The 24,155-nt window shown below is 47.7% G+C and overlaps 1 protein-coding gene across 3 annotated transcripts in view, besides 2 other annotated features; it reads right to left on the bottom strand.

The window, feature by feature from the left end:
- The window catches only part of NTN1 (netrin 1), a 240,914-nt gene that overhangs the window by 145,052 nt on the left and 71,707 nt on the right, over positions 1 to 24,155 (bottom strand). The window lies entirely within an intron of this gene.
- Positions 10,292 to 10,791: an enhancer, noted in NCBI's record as "H3K4me1 hESC enhancer chr17:8991475-8991974 (GRCh37/hg19 assembly coordinates)". NCBI's record gives its function as "activates a minimal SCP1, AML or CMV promoter by ChIP-STARR-seq in primed H9 embryonic stem cells {active_cell/tissue: H9 hESC(primed)}" and the evidence as "EXISTENCE:reporter gene assay evidence [ECO:0000049][PMID:30033119]".
- Positions 10,792 to 11,293: an enhancer, noted in NCBI's record as "H3K4me1 hESC enhancer chr17:8990973-8991474 (GRCh37/hg19 assembly coordinates)". NCBI's record gives its function as "activates a minimal SCP1, AML or CMV promoter by ChIP-STARR-seq in naive and primed H9 embryonic stem cells {active_cell/tissue: H9 hESC(naive and primed)}" and the evidence as "EXISTENCE:reporter gene assay evidence [ECO:0000049][PMID:30033119]".

The following is a 24,155-nucleotide window of genomic DNA, read 5'->3' as shown; positions in this document are numbered from 1 at the left end:
TCAATGTTACCAGTGTGTTCCCTAGAAGGAAAGATTTCAGGTTATTATTTTTCTATTTTTCTATATTTTCTTAAATTTCTAAAATTAATACACATTGTTTTTGGAGTCAGAAAGAAAATGAGTATTAGAGGTTAAAAACAAAAGCTGTCCTGGCCAATGGAGAAGTGAGAGAAAAATCGCTTCTCTCCCTAAAAACCATAATCTCCCCTACGATTTACATTCCCAGCAGCATCTCACTAACCTCTCTCTTCTCCACACCCCAGCTACTGGGGGTGCTTGTTTTCTTCATATGCAGGTGTGGCTGGAAACACCCAGCATCCTCCCATAGTCTGCTCCAGTCCAGATCATATGAAAACAGCTTCTGGCTGTGTCTGACGCCACAGGAACCTCACAGATGAGGTTCTCGCCAGTGCCATGGTTTCAGCAGTCTCTGTTTCCACCTGCTGCATCAGACAGGCCAGATATGCTGCAATGACCCTTCCCAGCCATCCTGCAAGACCTGCTCCGCAGGCTCCTTAAGGCATTCACCTGTCCCCTCTTAGCTCCCAGGGTCTGCAGTCCAGCTCACTGTGAACAGCGCTCTCCAGACTGCACAGGTGCCTCCCAGGACACCTGGCTGCAGGCACTGCTGGAGACCCTGCACTGCCAGGTGAGGCCAATAAGCCTGTATGGGATGCTGATAAGGAAACTGAGAATAAATAGGTAACAAATATGGCGCATCAGGGTCACACGAACAGGTGGCATCAACCTTATGTCTGGGAACGGGCATGGGAGGGATCATTTATCCAGCAAACTTGGAAGTAAACGATGCCAGGTGACAATAAAGAACTGAGCGAAACGTCCACTCTACAGTCATGATAACGGTAGGAAGTCCTTGACTAAAACCCATTCACTCTGCTCAATAGAATCATCTGATCTTCATTCAGAACCTATTTATTCTTAGTTTACATTCAGTTTTGAATAGTTCATCTATTTCTCTTTCTCGGGGGGAGGTCAGAGTAAGTCAATTAGGAGCAGAAAATTCTCAAAGGAGAACAAAGACTTATATTTACATGGATGTTCACTGCAGCTGGAACATCTGGAGAAACCTAGGTACACAGGGGACTGTTTCAATAAATTACGTTATATGCATTCAATGGCATACTAAGGAATCCACACTGCTGATTTAGAAAGATTGCCACGATATATTAAGTGATAAAAGCGCTTAACTGCATGAATAGTGTGCTTTCTATTTGTGTTCTGGTACAGGACAGATATGAATATATACCTTCATTTTTTTGTTGTTTGTCTGTTTGGGGTTTTTTTGTTTTTCTTTTTTTGTTTTTTGAGGCAGTCTCGCTCTGTTGCCCAGGCTAGAGTACAGTGGCATGATCTTGGCTCAATGCAACCTCCACCTCCTAGGTTCAAGCGATTATCCTGCCTCAGCCTCCTAAATAGCTGGGATTACAGGCACATGCCAATATACCCAGCTAATTTTTTTGTATTTTTAGTAGAGATGAGGTTTCACCATGTTGGCCAGGCTGGTCTTGAACTCCCGACCTCGTGATTTGCCCACCTCAGCCTCCCAAAGTGCTGGGATTATAGGCTTGAGCCACCGCGCCCAGAATATCTTCATATTTTTTAACATAAATAGAAGCACACTGCATTTAATAGGTCTGGAAGGACACAAAATGTTACATTTTCCAGGGTGAACAAGCGTCGGCATAGGAGGGAAACACATCTTACAGCAGCGTTTGAATTTCTGACTTTTGACTTATTTTTGTACTATTTGAAATGTTTTCCACGTCCTCAAATTATGGCCTCAATTAAAACAATGGTTTATAAAATGAAAAAGGAGAAAAACAACAGAAATTACCGACAATAGACAGCTTGGGAGCAAGAGAAGAGAAACAAGGAAAGTCTCAGTGAGTCAGCAATGCAAAAGAGAGAGCATGAGTGAGAAAAATAAAACTTGGAACCTTCAAGTAAAACAGATAAGTAAGCTCCACTGATTGCTGATGGTATGACTGTATGACAGAATGTTTTTCAATTATGTATTACCAATGACTCTGAAACATCAAAATAAGATTTAGTTGCATTTAACACTCCTTAAGCAGAGAAATGTGAAACACTAAAGACATTCCCATTTAAGTCAGAATTAAGACAAAGACGCCTGCTATTATCATCCCTACTAGTTAGAATTGTTCTGAATGGTGTAGCCAATGCAAGAAGACAAGAAAAGAGAATGAATGGCAGAAAAGAAAAAGGCAGAATTATTATTATTAAAGATGCTATGATGGGCTGGGTGCGGTGGCTCACGCCTGTAATCCCAGCACTTTGGGAAGTGGAGGCGGGTGGATCACAAGGTCAGGAGATGGAGACCATCCTGGCTAACACGGTGAAACCCCGTCTCTACTAAAAATACAAAAAAATTAGTTGGGTGTGGTGGCGGGCACCTGTACTCCCAGCTACTCGGGAGGCTGAGGCAGGAGAATGGCGTGAACCCGGGAGGCAGAGTTTGCAGTGAGCCGAGATTGTGCCACTGCACTCCAGCCTGGGCGACAGAGCAAGACTCCATCTCAAAAAAAAAAAAAAAAAAAAAAGTCTACCCATAAAACCCAGGAAGACAGCCCCTATTCAGTGACCAGGCCAGTCACTGAATAAATACATAAAAGCCAGTTTCTTTCATATATACCAATAGCAAACAATTGGAAAATATACTGGAAAATGACACCATTCACCATGCTACAAACAATTCAAAATGCCCACATATAAACTTAAGAAACATTCAGGGACATAGATGAGGAAACCATGTGGATACCTGATGGACATATCAAAGTTTCATACGAGAAGATTCAATATTATAAAGATTTGGCTGGAAGCAGTTGCTCACGCCTGTAATCCCAGCATTTTGGGAGGCCGAGGTGGGCAGATCACCTGAGGTCAGGCGTTCAAGACCAGCGTGGCCAACATGGTAAAACCCCATCTCTACTAAAAAATACAAAAATCAGGTGTGGTGACACACACCTGTAATCCCAGCTACTCGGGAGGCTGAGGCAGGAGAATCGCTTGAACCCGGGAGGCAGAGGTTGCAGTGCACTGAGATCACGCCATTGCACTCCAGCCTGGGTGACAGAGTGAGACTCCATCTCAAAAAAAAAGAAAAAGAAAAAGAAAAAAATTATAAAGATTCTCATTCCCTCCACATTTATCTATAAAGTTAAAGCCATTTCAATCAGAAGCACAGAGGAATTATTTTTTAAGTTGATCAAATCAGTCTAAAGTTCATCTGGAAACAAAATGCAAAAGACCAGCCAAGGGATTTTGTAATCATGGGATTCATGCCCTAAAATGATTAAAATATTAAAACAGTGTGGCACTGGCAAAAGAACACAGATGTGTATCATTGGACAGAAAGAACTCCAGAAACAGACCAAAGAGAATTAACACATGGCAAAGGAGCATTTCGAATGCGTTAGGGAAAGGTCCACATGGACAAAGTGAAAGGCTGGATTCTTTACCTTACATCAGATCATTTTAGGAATGGATTCAAGATTTAAGTATAAAAAATTAAGCTATGAAAGTGCTAGAATACACTAAAAAGTAGATGAATATCTTATAACCTCTTATTGAAATGACACCAAAGGCAGAAGTTAAACATAAAATACTTATATAAAAGTAAAAAGCATTTTTCTGCATGAACGAGCACCAGAAGCAAAACAGAGGCAAGGGACAAACTTGGGGAAACTGTTTGCAATTGAAATAACAAATAATTTACATCCTCAATATTCAAAGAATGCTCACAAATAAGTAACAAAATATTCATCCCTCAATGGAAAAAATACACAAAGGTCCTGAATAAGCAATTCCCCAAAAAAAGGAACACAAGTGGCTAACAGACATGTTATTTTAAATGTTCAAAGAAATGCATACTTTTAAAACTTAACATGCTGTTTCTTTTTTTTTTTTTTTTTTTTTTTTGAGACGGAGTCTCGCTCTGTTGCGCAGGCTGAAGTGCAGTGGCATGATCTCAGCTCACTGCAACCTCTGCCTCCTGCATTCAAGCGATTCTCCTGCCTCAGCCTCCTGAGTAGCTGGGATTACAGGCATGCGCCACCATGCCTGGCTAATTTTTGTATTTGTAGTAGAGACGGGGTTTCACCATGTTGGCCAGGCCAGTCTCAAACTCCTGACCTCGTGATCCGCCTGCCTCAGCCTTCCAAAGTGCTGGGATTACAGGTGTGAGCCACCGCACCTGGCTTCAATATGCTATTTCTTACCATTCAGTTTAGCAAAGATTTCATAAAGGACAATACACAGCCTCAGTGAGGTTACAGAGAAACTGCCACTCTTTGATGCTGCTGATGGAAACACAAATAAGTAAAACTTATCTGACAAGCAATTTGCCAATACATATAGAAGACTTAAAGGATTTTAAAATGTGTATATATACACACATTTTAATATAGCTACATTTAATATGTATATACACATTTATATGTACATATTATATTCGTACATACATATATGTGTGTGTGTACATATATATGTATACACACACACCCTCTGACTCACCAAATGTGATTCTAAGACTCTATCCTCCAAAAAGAACTAAACAGACACACAGAGGTTTAGCTCCAAGAATGTACCTCACTGTGCTATGAGTAATAGAAAAAAACTGGAAACAACCTTCAGACCCTACAGTGAGAAACTCATCAGAATCTGTGGTACATTCATGTACTAAGATGCCAAGCAGTCATGAAAATTAGGTTGCAGCAAGAGAGTCAAGATATCAGTAAGTTTTAAAAAGTAGGTTATAAAATAGTATATGTTTGAATATAAAATCCTGTTTGTAGAAACTGAATGTTTGTATGCATTAAAAGGTAAAACAGAAGTGTATATAACAAAATGTAAATAGTATGTATACTAGAAGTTTCTCTGGACAATGGGATAATGAGTGATTTTTTTCTTTTAACTTGTCCACATTTTCTTTTTTGAGACAGGGTCTCGCTCTGTCACCCAGGCTGGAGTGCAGTGCCACAATCTCGTCTCACTGCAACCTCTGCCTCCCAAGTTCAAGTGATTCTCCTGCCTCAGCCTCCCAAGTAGCTGGGACTACAGGCGCCCGCCACCACGCCCAGCTAATTTTTATATTTTTAGAAGAGACAGGGTTTCACCATGTTGGCCAGGCTGGTGTCAAACTCCTGACCTCAAGTGATCCACCTGCCTCGGCTTCCCAAAGTGCTGGGATTACAGGCGTGAGCCACCGCGCCCAGCCAACTTGTCCACATTTTCTAAATGTTTTAAAATTTACCAGGTACAATGGCTGACTCCTGTAATCCTACACTTTGAGAGGCTGCGGCAGGAGGACCACTTGAGCCCAGGAGTTCATCAGCCTAGGCAACATAGCAAGATACCATCTCTACCAAAATTAAGAAAATTCGCCAAGTGTGGAGGCTCTTGTCTGTGGTCTCAACTACTCAGGAGACTGAGGTGGATGGATCACTTGAGTCTGGTAGGTCAAAACTACAGTGAACTGTGATCGTGCCACTGCACTCCAGCCTGGGCAACAGAGTGAGACCTTGTCTCTAAAATAAATAAATAAATAAAATTTAGAATAAGAAAAATATTTCTAATAAGTTATTTGTTACTTAAGCTTACTCAACAAAGCTTGGGTAATACCTATGTTCATAGCAGTATTATTCACAATAGCAAATAGCTGGAAGCAATCCAAATGTCCATGGATGGATGAATGGATACAGAAAATGCGGTTTATCAGGCCGGTATGGTGGCTCACGCCTGTAATCGCAACACTTTGGGAGGCCGAGACGGGCAGATCACTTGAGGCCAGGAGTTCAAGACCGGCCTGGCCAACATGGCAAAACCCCATCTCTACTAAAAACACAAAAATTGGCTGGGCGCAGTGGCTCACGCCTGTAATCTCAGCACTTTGGGAGGCCGAGGCGGGCGGATCACAAGGGCAGGAGATCGAGACCATCCTGGCTAACGCAGTGAAACCCCGTCTCTACTAAAAATACAAAAAATTAGCCGGGCGTGGTGGTGGGCACCCGTAGTCCCAGCTACTCAGGAGGCTGAGGCAGGAGAATGGCGTGAACCTGGGAGGCGGAGCTTGCAGTGAGCTGAGATTGCACCATTGCACTCCAGCCTGGGCGACAGAGCGAGACTCTGTCTCAAAAAAAAAATACAAAAATTAGCCAAACATAGTGGTGTGCGCCTGTAATCCCAGCTATGGGTGGCTGAGGCACGAGAATCACTTGAACCCAGGACACAAAGGTTGCAATGAGCTGACATCGCACCACTGCACTCCAGCCTGGGCCACAGAGTGATACCCTGTCTCAAAAAAAATTTTGACCTATCCAGGCTGGGCGCCATGGCTCACACCTGTAATCCCAACATTTTGGGAGGCCAAAGCTGGTGGATCACTGGATGCCAGGAGCTTGAGACCAGCCTGGCCAACATCATGAAACCCTGTCTCTACTAAAAAAATACAAAAATTACCCAGGCATGGTGGTTTGCGCCTATAATACCAGCTACTCGGGAGGCTGAGACATGAGAATCGCTTGAATCTGGGAGGGAGAGGTTGCAGATGGAGTGAGACCCCGTCTCAAAAAAAAAAAAAAAAAAAAAAAGAGAAGAAAAGAAAATGTGGCCTCTCCATACAATGGAGTATTACTCAGTCTTAAAAAGGAAGGAGATTCTGACACATTTACACAACTTGGGTGAACCATGGTGACATGATACTAAATGAAATAAGCCAGTCGCCAGGTGTGGTGGCTCACACCTGTAATCTCAGCACTTTGGGAGGCCGAGGCAGGAGGATCACTTGAGGTCGGGAGTTTGAGACCAGCCTGGCCAACATGGTGAAACCCCGTCTCTACTAAAAATACAAAAATTAGCCGGACGTGGTGGTGCATGCCTGTAATCCAGGTACTCAGGAGGCTGAGGCAGGAGAATCGCTTGAACCCGGGAGTCACCGAAGGACAACTACTGTATGATTCCACTGATATGAGGTAGCTAGAGTAGTCAGATTCCTAGAGACAAAGTAGATTAGAGGTTTCCAGAGTCTGGGGCAGGAAGAAGTTGTTTCAGGGGTATAGAGTTTCAATTTAGGAAGTTGAAAAAGTTCTGGAGACGGATGGTGATGATGGTGAATGTACTTCATGCCACTGAACTGTACACATAAAAGTGGCTAAACGGGCCGGACACGGTGGCTCACGCTTGTAATCCCAGCACTCTGGGAGGCCGAGGCAGGCAGATCACCTGAGGTCGGGAGTTCGAGACCAGCCTGACCAACATGGAGAAACCCCGTCTCTACTAAAAATACAAAATCAGCCGGGCGTGGTGGCACATGCCTGTAATCCCAGCTACTCAGGAGGCAGAGGCAGGAGAATCACTCGAACCCGTGAGGCAAATGTTGCAGTGAGCCGAGATCGTGCCATTGCACTCCAGCCTGGGCAATAAGAGAGAAACTCCATCTCAAAAAAAAAAAAAAAAGGCGGGGGGTTAAACGTAGGATCCAGTTTAACTTTGGTCAGGCACTGTGGCTTGAGCCTGTAGTTCCAGCTACTGGGGAGGCTGAAGCAGAAGGATCCCTTGAACCTAGGAGTTTTGAGGCTGCAGTGAGCTATGATCCTACCACTACACTCCAGTCTGGGGGAGAGGGCGAGACCCTGTCTCTAAAACATAGAGAAAAATGGTTTAGATGGTACATTTTATGTTATGTATATTTTACCACAATTAAATAATAATAAAAAGTTTGACACATAAAATGTTTCCATTTTTAAAGTTTGGGGGAGGAAAAGTCACTTAAGGGAAACAGCTCATTCTCTGATAATGCCAAATAAATGAGGTGTTATTGTAGGCAGTGAGACATAAGCAGCTCTCCAGAAACCTTGCACTTGGCACTGCCGAGTCCTCCGCCTGGCAGCCAGTGCCCTCCTCAGCTGGCTGTTTTTCAATCCATCTCCCTTTGGTCGGCTTCACACGCCCTGGGTTTCCCTGCTGGGCCCAGGCTGAGGGTCCCGGTGGAGGGGAGGACATGGAAAGGAGGAGCGGGGCCGCCCGGCTCTTGCCCACCCAGCTCCAGGCTTGCCTTAGATGGGCACCCACCCTCAGAGTGGCCAAGCCTCCTCAAGGCCCTGCCAGCCTCCCTGCCCCCTTCTCTTGGCTCCCAGTCCATAGGAGCATTTGACTTTCTAATTCTTCCCTTCTCACAACAAAAAGCTAAATGTTCCCCAGGCACTTGGCCTGGTTTCTGTACCCAAGCAGAGAAATGGCCAGAGAAGACAAGCAGCGGGAAGCCAGCCTTAGCAAGGTCTCCTGAGTGGCTGCCTCCTGCACTCTCAGCCTTTATAAACCGGCATCTGTATCCCCCTCTTTCTGCTCCTAAATGACCAGAAACATCCATGACTTTCTTGCTTAGTGAGTCACAGAGAGTCCTTACCTGCTTTGGTAAGTAAGAAAGATGAGGAGTTAGGCCAGGCGCGGTGGCTCACACCTGTAATCCCAGCACTCTGGGAGGCCGAGGCAGGCGGATCATGAGGTCAAGAGATCGAGACTGTTCTGGCCAACATGGTGAAACCCCATTTCTACTAAAAATACAAAAATTAGCCAGGCATGGTGGTGCATGCCTGTAGTCCCAGCTACTTGGGAGGCTGAGGCAAGACAATCGCTTGAATCCAGGAGGCAGAGGTTGCAGTGAGCTGAGATCATGCCACTGCACTCCAGCCTGGTGACAGAGTGAGACTCCATCTCAAAAAAAAAAAGAAAAAGAAAAAAAAAAAGATGAGTTTGGTAGCCCGGCTCCTACCAAAAGATGATCAATGCCATAAGTTGGGAGGAGACAGGCGTCAACACCATTCCCCACTCACATACCCACAGCCCGTCCTCCAGCCTCAGCCTTTCCCACCATGTCCTCAAATGCCCATCTCTCCCTTTGGCCTCAAAAGGATAGACAGGCTGTGGGCTTCAGGACTTCTGGGGCATAGAAGGGAGCAGTGATAATTTTGCTTAGTAACTACCCTACTGTGTCCAGATAGCTTGTTGGTGTTTAAAAAAAAAAGTTTGTTTGGCCACTCTAACAAGTCCCCGCCAGAAACTGCAGGAGGTCGGTAGCAGGAGCCAGGTTGTAAAAGAGAGATGAAACCCCCAACTGGAAAAAGATGATCACAGGCAAGCGGCTGCGGCTGCGAACGAAAAGCTTTGTCTCCAGTGCCGTGGTGTTTGGGATGAGCAGAGGTAGAAGGGCCCTGAGAGTCCGAAAGCACCCATCACGTTCAAGGTGGTTTTTGCAGGCAGGGGAAGCACACAGCAGGTGTTCTCAGAAGGGACAATGAACATTTAGGTTCCACCCAGCAGTGAAAAACCCACCAGGGGTAGAGAACAGGGAACATCTGAGACAGTCTTCTGGCAAAACTTGTGCGTTATCAACAAGAAATTGTCACCTAGGACATTGCTCTAATGTGTTTAACAAGGTATAAAAAGTAGAAATTGGAGAATAGCCAAAACATATGTCCTTAATTTTTTTTTTTTTTTTAGATGGAATCTTGCTCTGCCGCCCAGGCTAGAGTACAGTGGCACAATCTCGGCTCACTGCAACCTCCGCCTCCCGGGTTCAAGCGATTCTCCTGTCTCAGCCTCCCGAGTAGCTGGGACTACAAGTGCCCGCCACCACACCTGGCTAACTTTTTTGTATTTTTAGTAGAGACGGGGTTTCACCATGGTGGTCAGTCTGGTCTCGAACTCCTGAACTCGGGTGATCCACCAGTCTCGGCCTCCCAAAGTGCTGGGATTACAGGCGTGAGCCACCGCGCCTGGCACCCTTAACTTAATAATAAAGCTAGAGCACAAATGAGGCTCCTCATACCTGGTCTTCTCAGCTCTCCACAACACAGGAGACTCTGTACCCTAAGCTGGGGGTCCTGCCTCCACAACAGTCACCAGCACTCCGATGGCGGACACCCAGGATCCAGGCATGAGGCTGAGGAGAAATTAATCAGTAAACCCAACCGTTTAAATAGTTCAGACATATCACGCTTTGCAGGGTGAACAGGTGCGAGGGTTTCGTGATGGCTGGCCACAAGGAACCCGGAGAGAGGTTGTTTCTCCGTATTTGGAATCGTTCAGACTCTTGATACTGGAAGGAGAACAACAGATTGAACCCTGAGGTCCTCCATGCATGCTTCCAGCCAGCTCGGAAATGGTTACTGTGGCTCAGTCAAGCTGCCAGCCCTGTCTGAAAACCCAAAACCTGCAAAGAAGATAATTGAAGCGGAAAAATCCTCCATCTGTGGCATGTGAACGTGTTCCAGGCTTCCGGGTCTGCCCTGGGGTCTCAGTCCTCAAATGAACAACCCACCCAGGAGCGGGTGGAGGTGGGACTCAGAGCCCATCCACCCATCCGTCTGTGGCAACTATTTGGTGTGTGTCATTGGGGTGCTAGGAGCTCCAGAGAACATAGAGCGGCTTGCTTTGGAGGGACCTCAGAGGACACCTAAGGCCAATCCCTTGTTTCATAAGAAGGAGTCTGAAGCCCAGAGAGGGGAAAGGACTGGCCCAACCCTACCCAGTGAGCTGGTAATAAAGCCACACCCAGAACCCAGAACTCCTGATCCCCACTTACTAGGGATCCTCAAAATCTTTAAGAGCAGGACAATAAGAAATTCCAAGTCATGGAAGAGGTGGCCAAAAGACCCTTGAAGCCAACTTGCAGATGGACACCCACTGGGCACCCACAGAAGTCCCTCGGCACGGCCGTCGGGAGCTGGTCCCCTGTCTCCCGCCTCCTGCCCCCTGCCTGTCCCCACTGGGTGGCTCGTGCACCAGCAATGCCAGCTTGGTGAGCTGGGGTTCTGGCCTTCTCCTTCCAGCACAGCAGTATGCGTCTCAGCTCTGGATGAGGCAGCCTCGTTCCTGCCTCTGGGGAGGAAGGACAGCAGTGGGGAGCATGGGACAAAGTGGCTCCATTCAGCCTCCTGGTCGAATTGGGGTTTCTACATCTGCTCTTGGGTAGACCACAGCCTCCCTGGGGGCAGGATGCCCCAGGAGCACTCAGTGGAGGACTTAGATCTAACCTCTCCTGTTTTGTATTCTGCAAGGTCACGGCCCTCACACAGGGTCAACTGTTTAGAAAGCACAAGTCTGGCTTTATGTGAAAGCCGTTCGTGAAAGCTACTGGGCAAATCGGCACAGGCCCAGGGTTCCAAACAAAGGATGAGCAGCTGTCTCGAGAAAAGAGAGCTGAGAACTCTCAGCTTGATTCAATCCTCTGGGTAATTGTGGAGAAGAGCACCTGGAGGGAGCTCTGAGGATGTCTAAGGATCCCAGGACTCTGGTATGTGGGAGCAATGAATGCTTCAAACTCCTACACCAAATGATGTCTCCCTGCCTCAGTCTCCCCCTTCTCAGCTCCACTGCCCACTGGGTGACCAGAGTGATCTTCCTACAGCACAAGCCAATCACGGTCCCCTCCCACTTAAAACCTTTCAATACGGTCTTCCTGTTGTCATCAAGACGAAGTCCAAAACTAGAAAACGCCAATCAGGGCTTGCAGGATCAGACCTTGCCCTACACTCAAGCTTCATCTCTCACCTCTTACACTCAGCACTCTGGCCACACAGCCTCTTTGGGTCTCGAATGCCCCCAGCTCTCTGTCTCTCTGTGGCCCTGTGCCTGCATCTCCCTCTCCCCAGAATGCTCCTGGCTCCTTGTCAGACCCCACCCCACCTAGCCACCTCCCACTCATCCTTCTAGGGTGGTTGGCAAACTAAGGTTCCACAACAGGTAGCCTGAACTTGAATCCTGAGTCTAACACTGAGAAACTCACTCTGTGACCTTGGTCAAACTGTGTAACCTTTAGGATCCTCATTTTCTTCACCTCTAAAGTGAGAATAACAACTTGGCTTCATAGGGTCACGGTGGAAATTAAATGAGACAATGTGTGCAAAGAGCTTTGCATGGTGCCAGGCACACAGAAGGTGGTCAAGCATGCTAGCTGCCATGATGCTAGTGGTGGTACTGATGACAACGGTGCTGATGCTGATGGTGATGGTGAAGCTGATGGTGATATTGAGAAGGAGGTGGGAAGTGATGATGATGGTGACAATAATGGTGATGATGACAGCAACGATGATGGTGATGATGGTGATGGTGCAGGTGGTGATGGTAATGAGGACAGTGAAGATGACAGGACAGTCATGATGACAGCATGATGATGGCAATGATGGTAAAGGAGATAGTGATATTGATGACAGTGAGCATGATGATGATGACATCAATGGTGATGATGGTGATCATGAAGGTAGGTGGTCACAGTGATGATCTGTTTGGTGATAATTTCATTTCCTCCAGGAAGCGTTCCCTGATCCTGCCCCGCAAGTGGCTCTGGTACCTCTTCCTCCTGCTTCCATAGCACCCGTTCTAACCTCTCACAGCCCTGTATTGTAATTGCTGGTGTACATTCCCCTCTAGAGTGAGTGCCTTGAGGTCAGGAACCCTATGGTTCTCTCCACTGTATTTCAATCATTTAGCATTCAAACTAGCATGAGACAGAGGCTTCAGAAATACCCACCGAATGATCTCAATGTTTGTTTGTTTTATTTTTATTTTTAGAGATGAGGGTCTCACTATGTTACCCAAACTGCTGGACTCGAACTCCTGGGCTCAAGTAATCCTCCTGCCTCAGGCTCCCCAGCAGCTGGGACAACAGGCAAGGACCACTGCACTCGGCTTATTTGTTAGTTTTTATTTTTGAAGACACCATAACAACTTATCTCCCTACACCTACTTCCACTTGCTACAATCAACAAGAAAACCCCTCATAAAAAGAATGGAGGAAATAATAATCTTAAATGAGTAACAAATGGGACACTACCTGGTGTTTATGAAGTTGCTTTCATAAATTATCAATTGGGGCAGAAACGAATCTCACTTAGGCTCTCTGGCTTCCTGCAAGAGACCATCTGGGCAATTCCTGCAAAGAGCCCTGACTTGGAAATCCCATGTGTAGTAGCAGTGAGAGCCAGGCAAGAGGAGAGGAGACAGTTCTCCCCACGTGCGCCCCTCTGTCACCCCACGAGAAGCTGAGCTCCGAGAACTGGAGCTTTGGTCTGGTTTGATCTCTGCTGAATCCCCAGCGCCTTGAATGCTCCTGGCACATAGCAGGTGCTCAAAACCTATTCGCTGATTGGCTGAATGAAAACGGCCATAAGAGCAGCTGTCATTTGAGTACCCAACTGTGTGTGGGCCCCATGCAAAGTCCTCTCTTGTGTGTCACTGAGGTTGGTATTTTTGTTATTTCCACTTCACAGACGAAGTCACTGAGGCTAGAGCTCCCGGGATGGTTGGTGATCCTGTGGACGTTGATCTGTAGATGCAAGAACTGAGGCACAGTAGCAGAGAAGCTAACTGTTGCCAATATCCATCCTCCACTTCCTTTTAGTTAAGGGACGCATGGTCACCCAGCGAGAGACCATACTTCCCAGGATACCTTGCAGCCAGGTGTGGCCACATGATGAAGTCTGAGGCGATGGAATATGAGTGGAAATGACACGCGTAACTTCCACTTCACTTCCTTAAAGGAAATTGCTCTCCCTCCCCTTCCTCTTTCCCTCTTCCAGCAGGCTGGAATGAAGACAGGGTGCTGGAGGACCAGCTTCCATCGGGAAGCTGAGGATAGCCCCCCAGAGGGTGGCAGAGCAGCTGGACAGGGGGCTGGGTTCTGCTCTGGATGACAATCATGGGACAGCACTGCCTACTTACCCCACGCATCCCCACCACCCAGCCACGAAGTGAGGGAAAGAGGTATCCACCTCGCTTGAGCCAGTGTGTTCTGAGGTCTCTGTAAATGAGCCTACAGCTAACCAGGAGGTCCTTGCCCAAGTCACACAGCTCACTTCTTTTGCTCATTTCTGTAGCATCCTGGTACAAGTGCATGAAGCTGCTGGCTCTACTCTCATTGCTGCAAGTATCAGAAAAAAGTGTTAGAAACTGCAAAGAACGGGGTCAGGCACGGTGGCTCACGCCTGTAATCCAGCACTTTGGGAGGCCGAGGCAGGCAGATCACGAGGTCAGGAGATCGAGACCATCCTGGCTAACACAGTGAAACCCCATCTCTACTAAAAATACAAAAAAATAGCCAGGCATGGTGGCGGGTGCCTATAGTCCCAGCTCCTTGGGAGGGTGAGGCAGGAGAATCACTTGAACCCAGGAGGCGGAGGTTGCAGTGAGCCGAGATCACGCCACTGCACTCCAGCCTGGGCAACAGAGTGAGACTCCATCTCAAAAAAAAAAAAAAAAAAAAAAAACTGCAAAGAACAAAGCCAAAGCTGAAGAGGCCCACAGGAAGGCTGTGGAATGTCCAGAGGTCTCCTTCCACCAATGCTCTGGAGTGGAGCAGGGAAAAGGAACCAGGGCTTACGGTGTTGCCCCCCAGATGGAAATCTCTGCAACGAGTCACCCACACTTCCCAAAGGGCCACCCGGTGACAGCGTCCTGTGAAAACAACACTCTAGTGGCTGTTTCTACACTGGAATGAGGACACTTTGGGGTTTGGGTTTCCCTCCCACACAATGACTAGACAAAGCAGCCTCTTTTTATTTAAATCATCCTGCACGTTCATGGAATTTTTCTCTGGCTATCCCCAGCATGTTAGTGAAAGCCACAGGAATATCTTATCTCATGCAGGCGTGGTGGCACATGCCTGTAATCCCAGCTACTCAGGAGGCTGAGGCAGGAGAATCACTTAAACCCGGGAGGCGGAGCTTGCAGTGAGCTTAGATCAAGCCACTGCACTCCAGCCTGGGCAACTACACGTGCTTCTGAAAAGTTAACAATTCTGCATTTCTACAAACTGTATCCTTTTGGAAATATATTTCGGAAGCTTTCCATCTAAAAGAATGCTAACATGATCTACACCCAAAAGTGGATCATCACCCCCATGATAGACGCTTTTTCAATCCCCTTCCCCAGCCCGGTGGCTCTCATTAGCCACTCTGCACCTCCTCAATGTGCCTCTCAAAGGCCAGAGCCCAGAAGCAAATGCAATATTCTAAGCATATCTGTCTCTCCCCAAGGAAGCGAAGACTCATCTCTGTGCTAACTAACAGAAAACTCGACCCAAAATGGCTTGAATTACATGGGTTTGTGTAACTGAAGGTCCGGAGGTAGAACCGGGTTCATTCAGGGATGTGATCCAGGACTTAGTGTCTTCTACCTGTCCTTCTATGTCCTCTATGCCTTCGTGGTCTCAATATCATCCTTTGGTGGGTGTTCCCTGTGATAGCAAAGGGGATGCAGCAGTTCCAGGCTTCGTATCCACACACCACAGCATCCAAGGTGAGCAAGAAGGCTAGTTTCCAGAATCCCCCACAGAAGAGCTAGGTACCTTATTTACAAAAGCCTTCAGCCAATGTCCCTTCATGCTTCATTAGACCAAACCAGGTCACATGACCATTCCTGAACCAATTCCTGTAGCCAGGAAAATGCTGTGTATTGATCAATCACGTGGCAAGGAGCATGGAATCATCCTGACTGGATTACAAAACCACAGACAATCAGCTGGGTGTAGTGGCTCACGCCCATAACCCCAGCACTGTGGGAGGCTGAGGCAGGCCAATCACCTGAGGTCAGGAGTTCGAGACCAGCCTGGCCAACATGGTGAAACCCTTCCTCTAAAAATTCAAAAATTAGCCAGGTGTGGTGGCGCATGCCTGTAATCCCAGCTACTCAGGAGGCTGAGGCAGGAGAATCACTTAAACCTGGGAGGCGGAGCTTGCAGTGAGCTGAGCTCAAGCCACTGCACTCTAGCCTGGGCAACAGAGCAAGACTTGATCTCAGAAGAAGAAGAAAAAAAAAACCCACGGACAATCCCCCCAAGGCCAATGGCAGAACACGGAGAATGAGGGGTGGGAAGGGTATTGAGGAGATGGTCAGTGTCCCCTACAACCTCCTGTCTCTAGACACTAGAGAGCTATGATGATCGAAGCTTACGTTAGCTTCCTTTGGCAACCACATCCATGGTTGACTCAAATAAATCCTCCCCTCAGCTAAAACCCTTGAGTCTCACTGATAATATAAGTATCTATGACATGGTAATGGTGCAATTCATTCTTTAGACCTAAGGAAGACTTCAGATTTATCCTCCCGATGTTTCATCTGATTTGGTTGGTTCCATCATCTTAGCCAATCAAGATCATTTCATAAACTGATTCTGTCATCCAAAATTAAAAAAAAAAAAAAGGCGAGAAACTCTCATGGCCAATCTCTACTCTATGCACTCGTAGAGTAACGCAGACCTCCTATCCTCTCTGTGAAGCCCCCGGCCCGGCGTCTGCAGCAGGCAGTGTGTGTGCGCTGCTCACGGCCCCACACTCTGCCTCATGCCTGAGCGCAGCTGCCCTCACCAGCCAGTTGTGTATGTTCTCAGCCCATTTAAAACAGTGTGAAAAGTGTGGTTGTTTCTATGAAAACTCAACTGCAAAGACTCAACAAAACCAGTCACTACATTTACAAAATGCAGCTGTCAAATGAGGTGTAGAGGAGATATCCAGAAAAGATTGAGGCAAAATTATTTTTAAAAATACAAGATGCTGGCCAGGCGTGGAGGCTCATGCCTGTAATCCCAGCACTTTGGGAGGCTGAGGCGGGAGGATCACCTGAGGTCAGGAGTTTGAGACCAGCCTAGCCAACGTGGCAAAACCCCGTCTCTATTAAAAATACAAAAAATTAGCCGGATGTGGTGGTGGGTGCCTCTAATCCCAGTTACTCAGGAGGCTGAGACAGGAGAATCTCTTGAACCCAGGAGGCAGAGGTTGCAGTGAGCCAAGATCACACCACTGTACTCCAGCCTGGGGGACAGAGCAAGACTCAGTCTCAAAAACAAACAAACAAAAAAACAAGATTTTGAACCCAGATAACTTCAGGCTTGTCTGAGGAATCACACCACTTTCATGAAACCAACTGCAGACTGGAGACAAGGTTTGTGCAAGAGACAACACAGAACCCACCCAGCAGACCCAAACTCGGAGAAAACGTCTTGGCCCTGCAGCAAGTTGGCAAATGGAAGTGCTCTTCCAGGCCTTATGTAAGGTTAAAAGTGAATTTTTAAATATTTATCTGACTTTCTTCAATGTGCAGCCAACTATTAACTTAAGGTTGAAGGCAACCTTAAGGCATGAAAGTGCTTCCTCTATGGCTATCCCACCCCTGACCCCCAGCCTCCTGCCATTCATATCTGCAAGGGACTGTCATCAATCTCCTCTTCCCGGGAGTGAAGATATTGAGAAAGGCCCACCTGAGGCCAGAGCTCTCTCTGCGACAGCAGTCGGCTTCCTCGTTAACCTGTTGTGATGAAAGGTAGTACTTCATGGCAGGATGTGTGGACGGGTGGGGCAGGTGGGTTTGGGGGTGGAGGACGAGAGGTGAGGAGACTATCTGGGTGGGTATGAAGGTCTCCATGTGAACAGAGCTTGGGTGTTGGTGATAAATGGAATGAAACAGGTGCAAATGGAACATCACATGGGGAAAATCAACAAGATTAGGTGACTGGTTGAGACGTCAAAGATTAAGATGGGCTCCTGGGTGATCTTCATTGGCACAGAGATAACCACAGAGGAAGTACGTTTCAGTCATTAAGATGAGTCTGTACAAAAAACAGCTTCTCCTCACACTCACCCCACAACAATCAATACCTCTGGTCACCAAGAAGTGTGAGGGAATTTTTTTCTCCAACAACCAAGCAAACAATTGTGCAATGGACACCAGCTGGGTGTCCTCCAATTTAATTCTGACACTATGTATCTGGATATAGTGTCAAATCCCATCTGTTGAGGGCTCAGTCGCATAAGACTGCCCCCAGCACTTCTGATGCCAATCACAAGCCCCACGTTGTTTTACTTGTGCTTCTGACCAACCAGCTATAAGTCAAGGTTCCCTAGAGCCCCTCCTCAGGTTCAGTTAATTTGCTAGAGTGGCTCAGGGAAACACATTTGCCGGTTAATTATAAAGGATATTACAGAGAATACAGGTGAAGAGATACATAGGGTGAGACATGTGGGAAGGGCGAGGAGCTTCCATGCCCTCCCTGGGACCATCACCCTCTAGGAACCTCCACATGATCAGCTATCAGAAGCTCTCCAAACGCTGTCCTTCTGAGTTTTTATGGAGGCTTCATTACACAGGCATGACTGATTAAATCATTGGCCACGGGTGATCAGCCCAACCTTCAACCTTCAACCCCTCTTGCTTCACCGGAGGTGGGGCAGGGAGAGGGAAAGTCCAAGCCCTCTCACCCTGCCATGGTCTTTCTGGTAACCATCCTCCATCCTGAAGCTACCTGGAGGCTGCCAGCCACCAACCAATCCTTAGCACACAAAAGACATCTGATCCCTTTGAAGATTCCAAGGATTTTAGGAGTTGTATGCCAAGAAACAGGGACCAAGACCAAATATACATTTCGCAATATTACAATGAGATTTCAAATGTTCTAAGTTAGAGATAACACTACTGGATGCTTCTAGAGAGACTGGAACAGAGATGGATAACTGGAACCATCCACCTCTTAACTCTAACAGTGAATGGGATCGGTGAGACCTGAAGTGTAGAGGGCTCCAGGGAAGGCAGCAAGGAGGACCAGTCAAGGAGGGAGACAGACGAGGCCTGAGCAGCAATGAGGAGAGAATTCCAGAGGGGATAGAGAGGTCCATGTGTGCAGTGCTTCAGAGGTCACGCAGGGGGCTGCATTTAGCTACGAAGGTCATTGGTCACCTCAGTTACAAATTTCAACGATGTGCTGAAGACACTGGGGAGACTGCAAGGAGCCTGGAAACAGGCCTGCTAGAGAATCACTTCCTCAGGGAGCCAGGAAACAGGCCCACTGGGGAACCACTTCCTCAGGGGAACCAGTTCCTCCAGGGCCAGGAAACAGGCCTGCTGGGGAAACACGTCCTCATGGGAACCACTTCCTCGGGGGCCAGGAAACAGGCCTGCTGGGGAACCACTTCCTTGGTGGTCAGGAAACAGGCCACTGGGGAACCACTTCCTTAGGGGCCAGTAAACAAGCCTGCTGAGGAACCACTTCCCAGGGGGAACCACCTCCTTGGGGGCCAGGAAACAGGCCCATTGGGGAACCACTTCCTCCAGGGCCAGGAAACAGGCCTGCTGAGGAACCACTTACCAGGGGGAACCAGGAAACAGGTCCACTGGGGAACCACTTCCTCCAGGGCCAGGAAACAGGCCCGCTGAGGAACCACTTCCCAGGGGGAACCAGGAAACAGGTCCACTGGGGAACCACTTCCTCCAAGGCCAGGAAACAGGCCTGCTGGGGAACCACTTCCTGGGAGGCCAGGAACTAGACCCACTGGGCTACCACTTCCTCTGGGGAACCACTTCCTCAAGGGCCAGAAAATAGGTCCGCTGGGGAAACACTTCCTCAGGGGTGGGGACCAGCTAGAAGGGGTGCTAGAGGAAAGAATAGTGTTAAGGAAAAAAGAGACACTGCTCACAATCAAAGCCATCAATACAGATGGGGAGGAGAAGATAAGCTCCCCAGCCTATCCCATTGTACAGACACATTTTTAAGGGGACTAGAAAAAAGTCCAAAGCTGAGGAGGAAGTGTTTCAGACATTGAAAAACCTTCCAGAATGCACAAGAGATTATGCACAAGTTGCTGCAGCTCACCCCCTGGGTATCTCCTACCCCGCAAGAATGGTGACCCCACCACCCTGGAGCAGGGTTCTACTCCCTTGGCACAGCAACAGGGGGTCTACAGAAGGGGTCCTTCCATCACAACCTCAGCTCTGGGCTGCACAAAAGATCTGGGGCCCTGTACTATCAAGCTTCTGCTTCTTTGCCATCTCAGGCCCTCTTCCTGCCCATGGGTCTTCTCCCCCAGAACCCAAGGCTGGATGTGGAGTAGAGGGAGAGGCTGAGGAGCCATTAGGATTGTAGAAGCCATGGGGGCATCCCTGGATGTTCTATTTCTTTCCAGATGTATGCACTCCAGAGTTCCTAAATCAGCTTCTATGTTCTTCAAAGAATGGGTTCAAAGTAAAAGAGAAGCGTAGAAAGGGGGCTGAACTCTGTCTCCTGGAGCAAACCGCATCATTTCTCCAGAATATCAGCTCCAGGAAGACTTTTTGTCTGCCTGACTCACTAATACTTGTTTGAGAAGTTCAGAGGGGTGACTCCAGAGATCAAGTTTTCCTTGGGGACATTCCAGGGATGGTTTCTCTATCCCAGAAGCCCACAGAGTCTCACTTTTCTATCTTATTTGCCATTGCAGGTTGCCCAGAGGTTAGGCCCAGGTACCCTGGTTGACTCCTTCTAGAAAAGACACTGAGCAAGTCATGTTCTGGAACATAAAACCTCAGCCATAAAGAAGATCTAAGAACAGAAGCTACCCTGAAATGTGGTAAGGCTGAAGCTATTTCTGCCAGAATTCATGCAGACTCTCAGGTACTCATCTTTAAAATGCAGTCGGGAGCCAGAGATTCCGGGGGACAGGATGCTCACGCTCCATCCCTCACCTGCTCCCAGATGTACCAGCCTTTGTGCCATGTCCATTTTCTCTCTGGCCCCCTTTCATCTGGCTAACTCCTCCCTGTCCTTCCTTCCAGAAGTTGTTCCTAACGATCCCACTGCCCCCACCCAGGGAACTGCTGCCTGGTATTGGATAGCAACCTGTGCCTCCCCATTGCTTAATCACAGCTTATGATACTTACCTGTCTAACTCTAGACTGGACTGTGAGAGCCTCATGAAAGCAAGGGATCGCCATTCTTCTGCTCACCACTCTCCCATCACCAAGCACACTGCCTGATGCAGAACAAGGCTCAGTAAATCTTAGTTCACTGGGTGGATGGATGGATGGATGGATGGATGGATGGATGGATGGATAGATGGATGGGCAGGCAAATTAACAAACAATACTGAGTGGTGACAAGGAGTGCTTAACCACCATCTGGGAATGGGAACACAGGAGTGGAGTAATGATAATTAAACCTGTTAAGGCAAACATCTTCCTTGGGATGACCTCCACAATCCCCACACAGAGCCCAGGACCCCCATAAGCCTCCACAAATACTGATGACCAACAGACATTCATTGAACACCGGTCCTGCCTCATCCGCTTAGAGGGATTCTTAACTCTCCTGCATGGCTGAAGTTGTGGAGACCCGTTTAAGACTAGAGAAATGGGTGGTTTATACATTTCTTTTGTCTGAAGTTTCTTCCAATGACCTCTCCATCACCTTTCCAATTTTCCTGGATATTTTATTAGCAGTAAAGTTCATCTTTATCAACTTTTCCCACTTTGTTTCTAACAGAAGTGTACTTTATTTGTTGTTATTATTATTCATATAGCACTTAAAGCATGTCCTCTTTGCCTTAGCTGATTTGGTCTTCACAACTACCTTGTAAGGGAATTGGGGACTATTATCTCCATTTTATAGGTGAGGATACTGAGGCTCAGAAAAGCGACATGAATGGTTCAGAGTGCTAAAATGAGCTGATGGTATATGGCCTGGATTGGTAGCCAAGGCTTTTGATTCTCAGCCACTGCCCCACCTCCAATATCCTGTTGCCTCTGGATGCCTTCCCTCTCACCTCTGATTTATCTGAACTTCTGTTCTCCTGGGGCCGTTCCTCAAACAACATGTAGCCCCAAACCCTGTTCCTCTTCCTGGCCAAAATCTACATCACTACTTCCATTTCTTTTTGTTCCTTTCTTCCTTTTTTTTTCTTTTGAACCTTTCCATTCCCAACTGGAGAATTGGGGCTGGACATCCATGTTTTAGAGACATTGTACCTCCAACTGTTATCAGTTCTTTCCTCTGTCTCCTGCTTTGTTAATTCCAAGATGCCCCAAACAGAAGACATGAGACCACAGCCAATCTTCTGCTCACCCACCTGTCTGATGATTACCTGCTACAGAACGGGGTGGGAAACATTTCCAGGAAGGAGAGGGCCAGGCAGCAGCTGGGTCTACACTGGGCTTCCTAGAATAACTGCAGGGGAACCCGTCTAGCAAGAAGACACCTCTGACAGTGTGGAGCCAGGAGGCAGGGGCTGAGTCCTCAGGGACACCCCATCCTGGGTGGAGGCATGTGGTTGATAAAGTCACACAGGAGTTAAAAATAACTGACTGTCAAAATACCCTGGAAAGTCACTTAAATCAATAATTATGCAAAGTGTGTGGTTTTATGTATTCATGTTGAATTCTAATTGTTAGACATGCTGAAGGCTGAGAAACTGTGAGCTAATCTAAAGTAGGGAACCTAGGCCGGGCGCAATGGCTCATGCCTATAATCCCAGCACTTTGGGAGACTGAGGTGAGAAGATCACTTGAGCCCAGGAGTTCAAGTCCAGCCTGAGCAACATAGAGAGACCCCTATCTCCACAAAAAAATTTGAAAAATTCACTGAGCATGCTGGTGTGTGCCTGTGGTCCCAGCTACTCGGGATGCTGAGGTGGGAGGATTGCTTGACCCCAGGAGCTCACAGCTGTAGTGAGCTATGATTGCACCACTGCACTCCAGCCTGGATGACAGGGTGAGACCGTCTCTAACAAAAAAACTTAAAAATAGAAATAAAATAAAACAAATAGAGAACCTAAAGGGGACATGTCCAGGCATTCCCATCCCTCTGCCTTTAAGAAATTCCCAGCTGTGGTCAGTGTGCAGGCTGGTGTGGATGGAGGATGGAGGACTCTGCAGACCCTCCCCACCTGGGTGGATTCCACTGCACTTGGACATTGGGCCTCCCTCATGTTAACAAAGGTAGTGGCTGTCATGAGGCTTAAAGGGCACACAGTAGGGTTGTGCGTCTTCCACAGGGGTCAGGTTCTCAAATCAGCTCTCATGAGCACAGTCAGCTGAGGGACCATGGGGAATCACCTCCTCTCTCTGACCAGCAGTTTTTAAAAATGACCTCAAGGAGCCCCAGGATTCAGTGGCCTCACCTCAAGGGTGAACCTGGGGTTGAGGGGTGGGCCAGCCCATGGGGCCTCCCTAACGTCAACCCAGGCAACTCTGCTTTCTTCTGCTCTATCTCATTAGATTCCATGGAGGATTCTGTCAGCTAAATGAAAGTTTGCCAACCACTGACCCATTCCAGGCGGGGTATTTTCCCCCTGGGGAAACATGTCTTCCCCTCACTTCTGTCCTGCCTCTTCCCTGCAGCGCTGGGACTGGCACAAGGCCACACCTCCGGGGGCTGCAGAGCCACACACACATCCCTAGTCTGAGGCCATAGGACTGAAGTCCCTGAGGGTCTCAAAGCTTCCCCCTCCCAAAGAAGCTAGGAGGGGCAATGACGATGAGCTTGGAGAGGCTGACAGGCCGTCCCCTTTCATTCCTGTGACACACCAAGGCCAACTCATCCTAATACCAACCAGATGGGACTCTCATAGAGCCCCGTTTTATTTAAGTTTTTTTTATTTATTTTTTGTTTGTTTGTTTTGTTTTTGTTTTTGTTTGAGATGGAGTCTCCCTCTGTCACCCAGCTGGAGTGCAGTGGCGTGATCTTGGCTCACTACAACCTCCACCTTCCAGGTTCAAGCGATTCTCCTGCCTCAGCCTCCTGAGTAGCTGGGATTACAGGTGCCCACCGCCATGCCCAGCTAATTTTTTGTATTTTTACTAGAGACAGGGTTTCACCATGTTGGCCAGGCTAGTCTCGAACTCCTGGGCTCAAGTATTCCACCCGCCTCGGCCTCCCAAAGTGCTGGGATTACAGGCGTGAGCCACCGTGCCCAGCTGAACCCCATTTTATAGATGGAAGAACCGGGAGAGGAGGTCATTTGACCAAGACTATCCCATCTCTAAGTGGTGGGCCTGGGATTTGAACTCTGGTAGCCTGGCTCCAGAGACCCTGCTGTTACTCACTGTGCCTCTCAAAGAGACTTGGTAAACAAACCAACTAGGCCCGACCACAACATGTTGAGGCTGACTTTCTAACAAGCTAGCATATTCCACATCCACACTCACATGCACACATCCCGTTGGGTAAGACCCGTGTGTGTTGGGAAACGCAGAGTGAGGACGGCTCACTTATTCCAACAGTATTCCAATGGGCCCAACACATTCCTGAGACTTGCCTTTGAGAATTGCCCTTGGGGACTCCTGAATTTCCCAGATAGTGGCAGCTCCTCAGCCCCTGGACC

This window comes from Homo sapiens, chromosome 17, assembly GCF_000001405.40.
Source record: "Homo sapiens chromosome 17, GRCh38.p14 Primary Assembly".
NCBI lineage: Eukaryota > Metazoa > Chordata > Mammalia > Primates > Hominidae > Homo > Homo sapiens.
The sequence above is the reverse complement of the archived record's forward strand: the minus strand, read 5'-3'. Positions and strand labels throughout refer to the sequence as shown.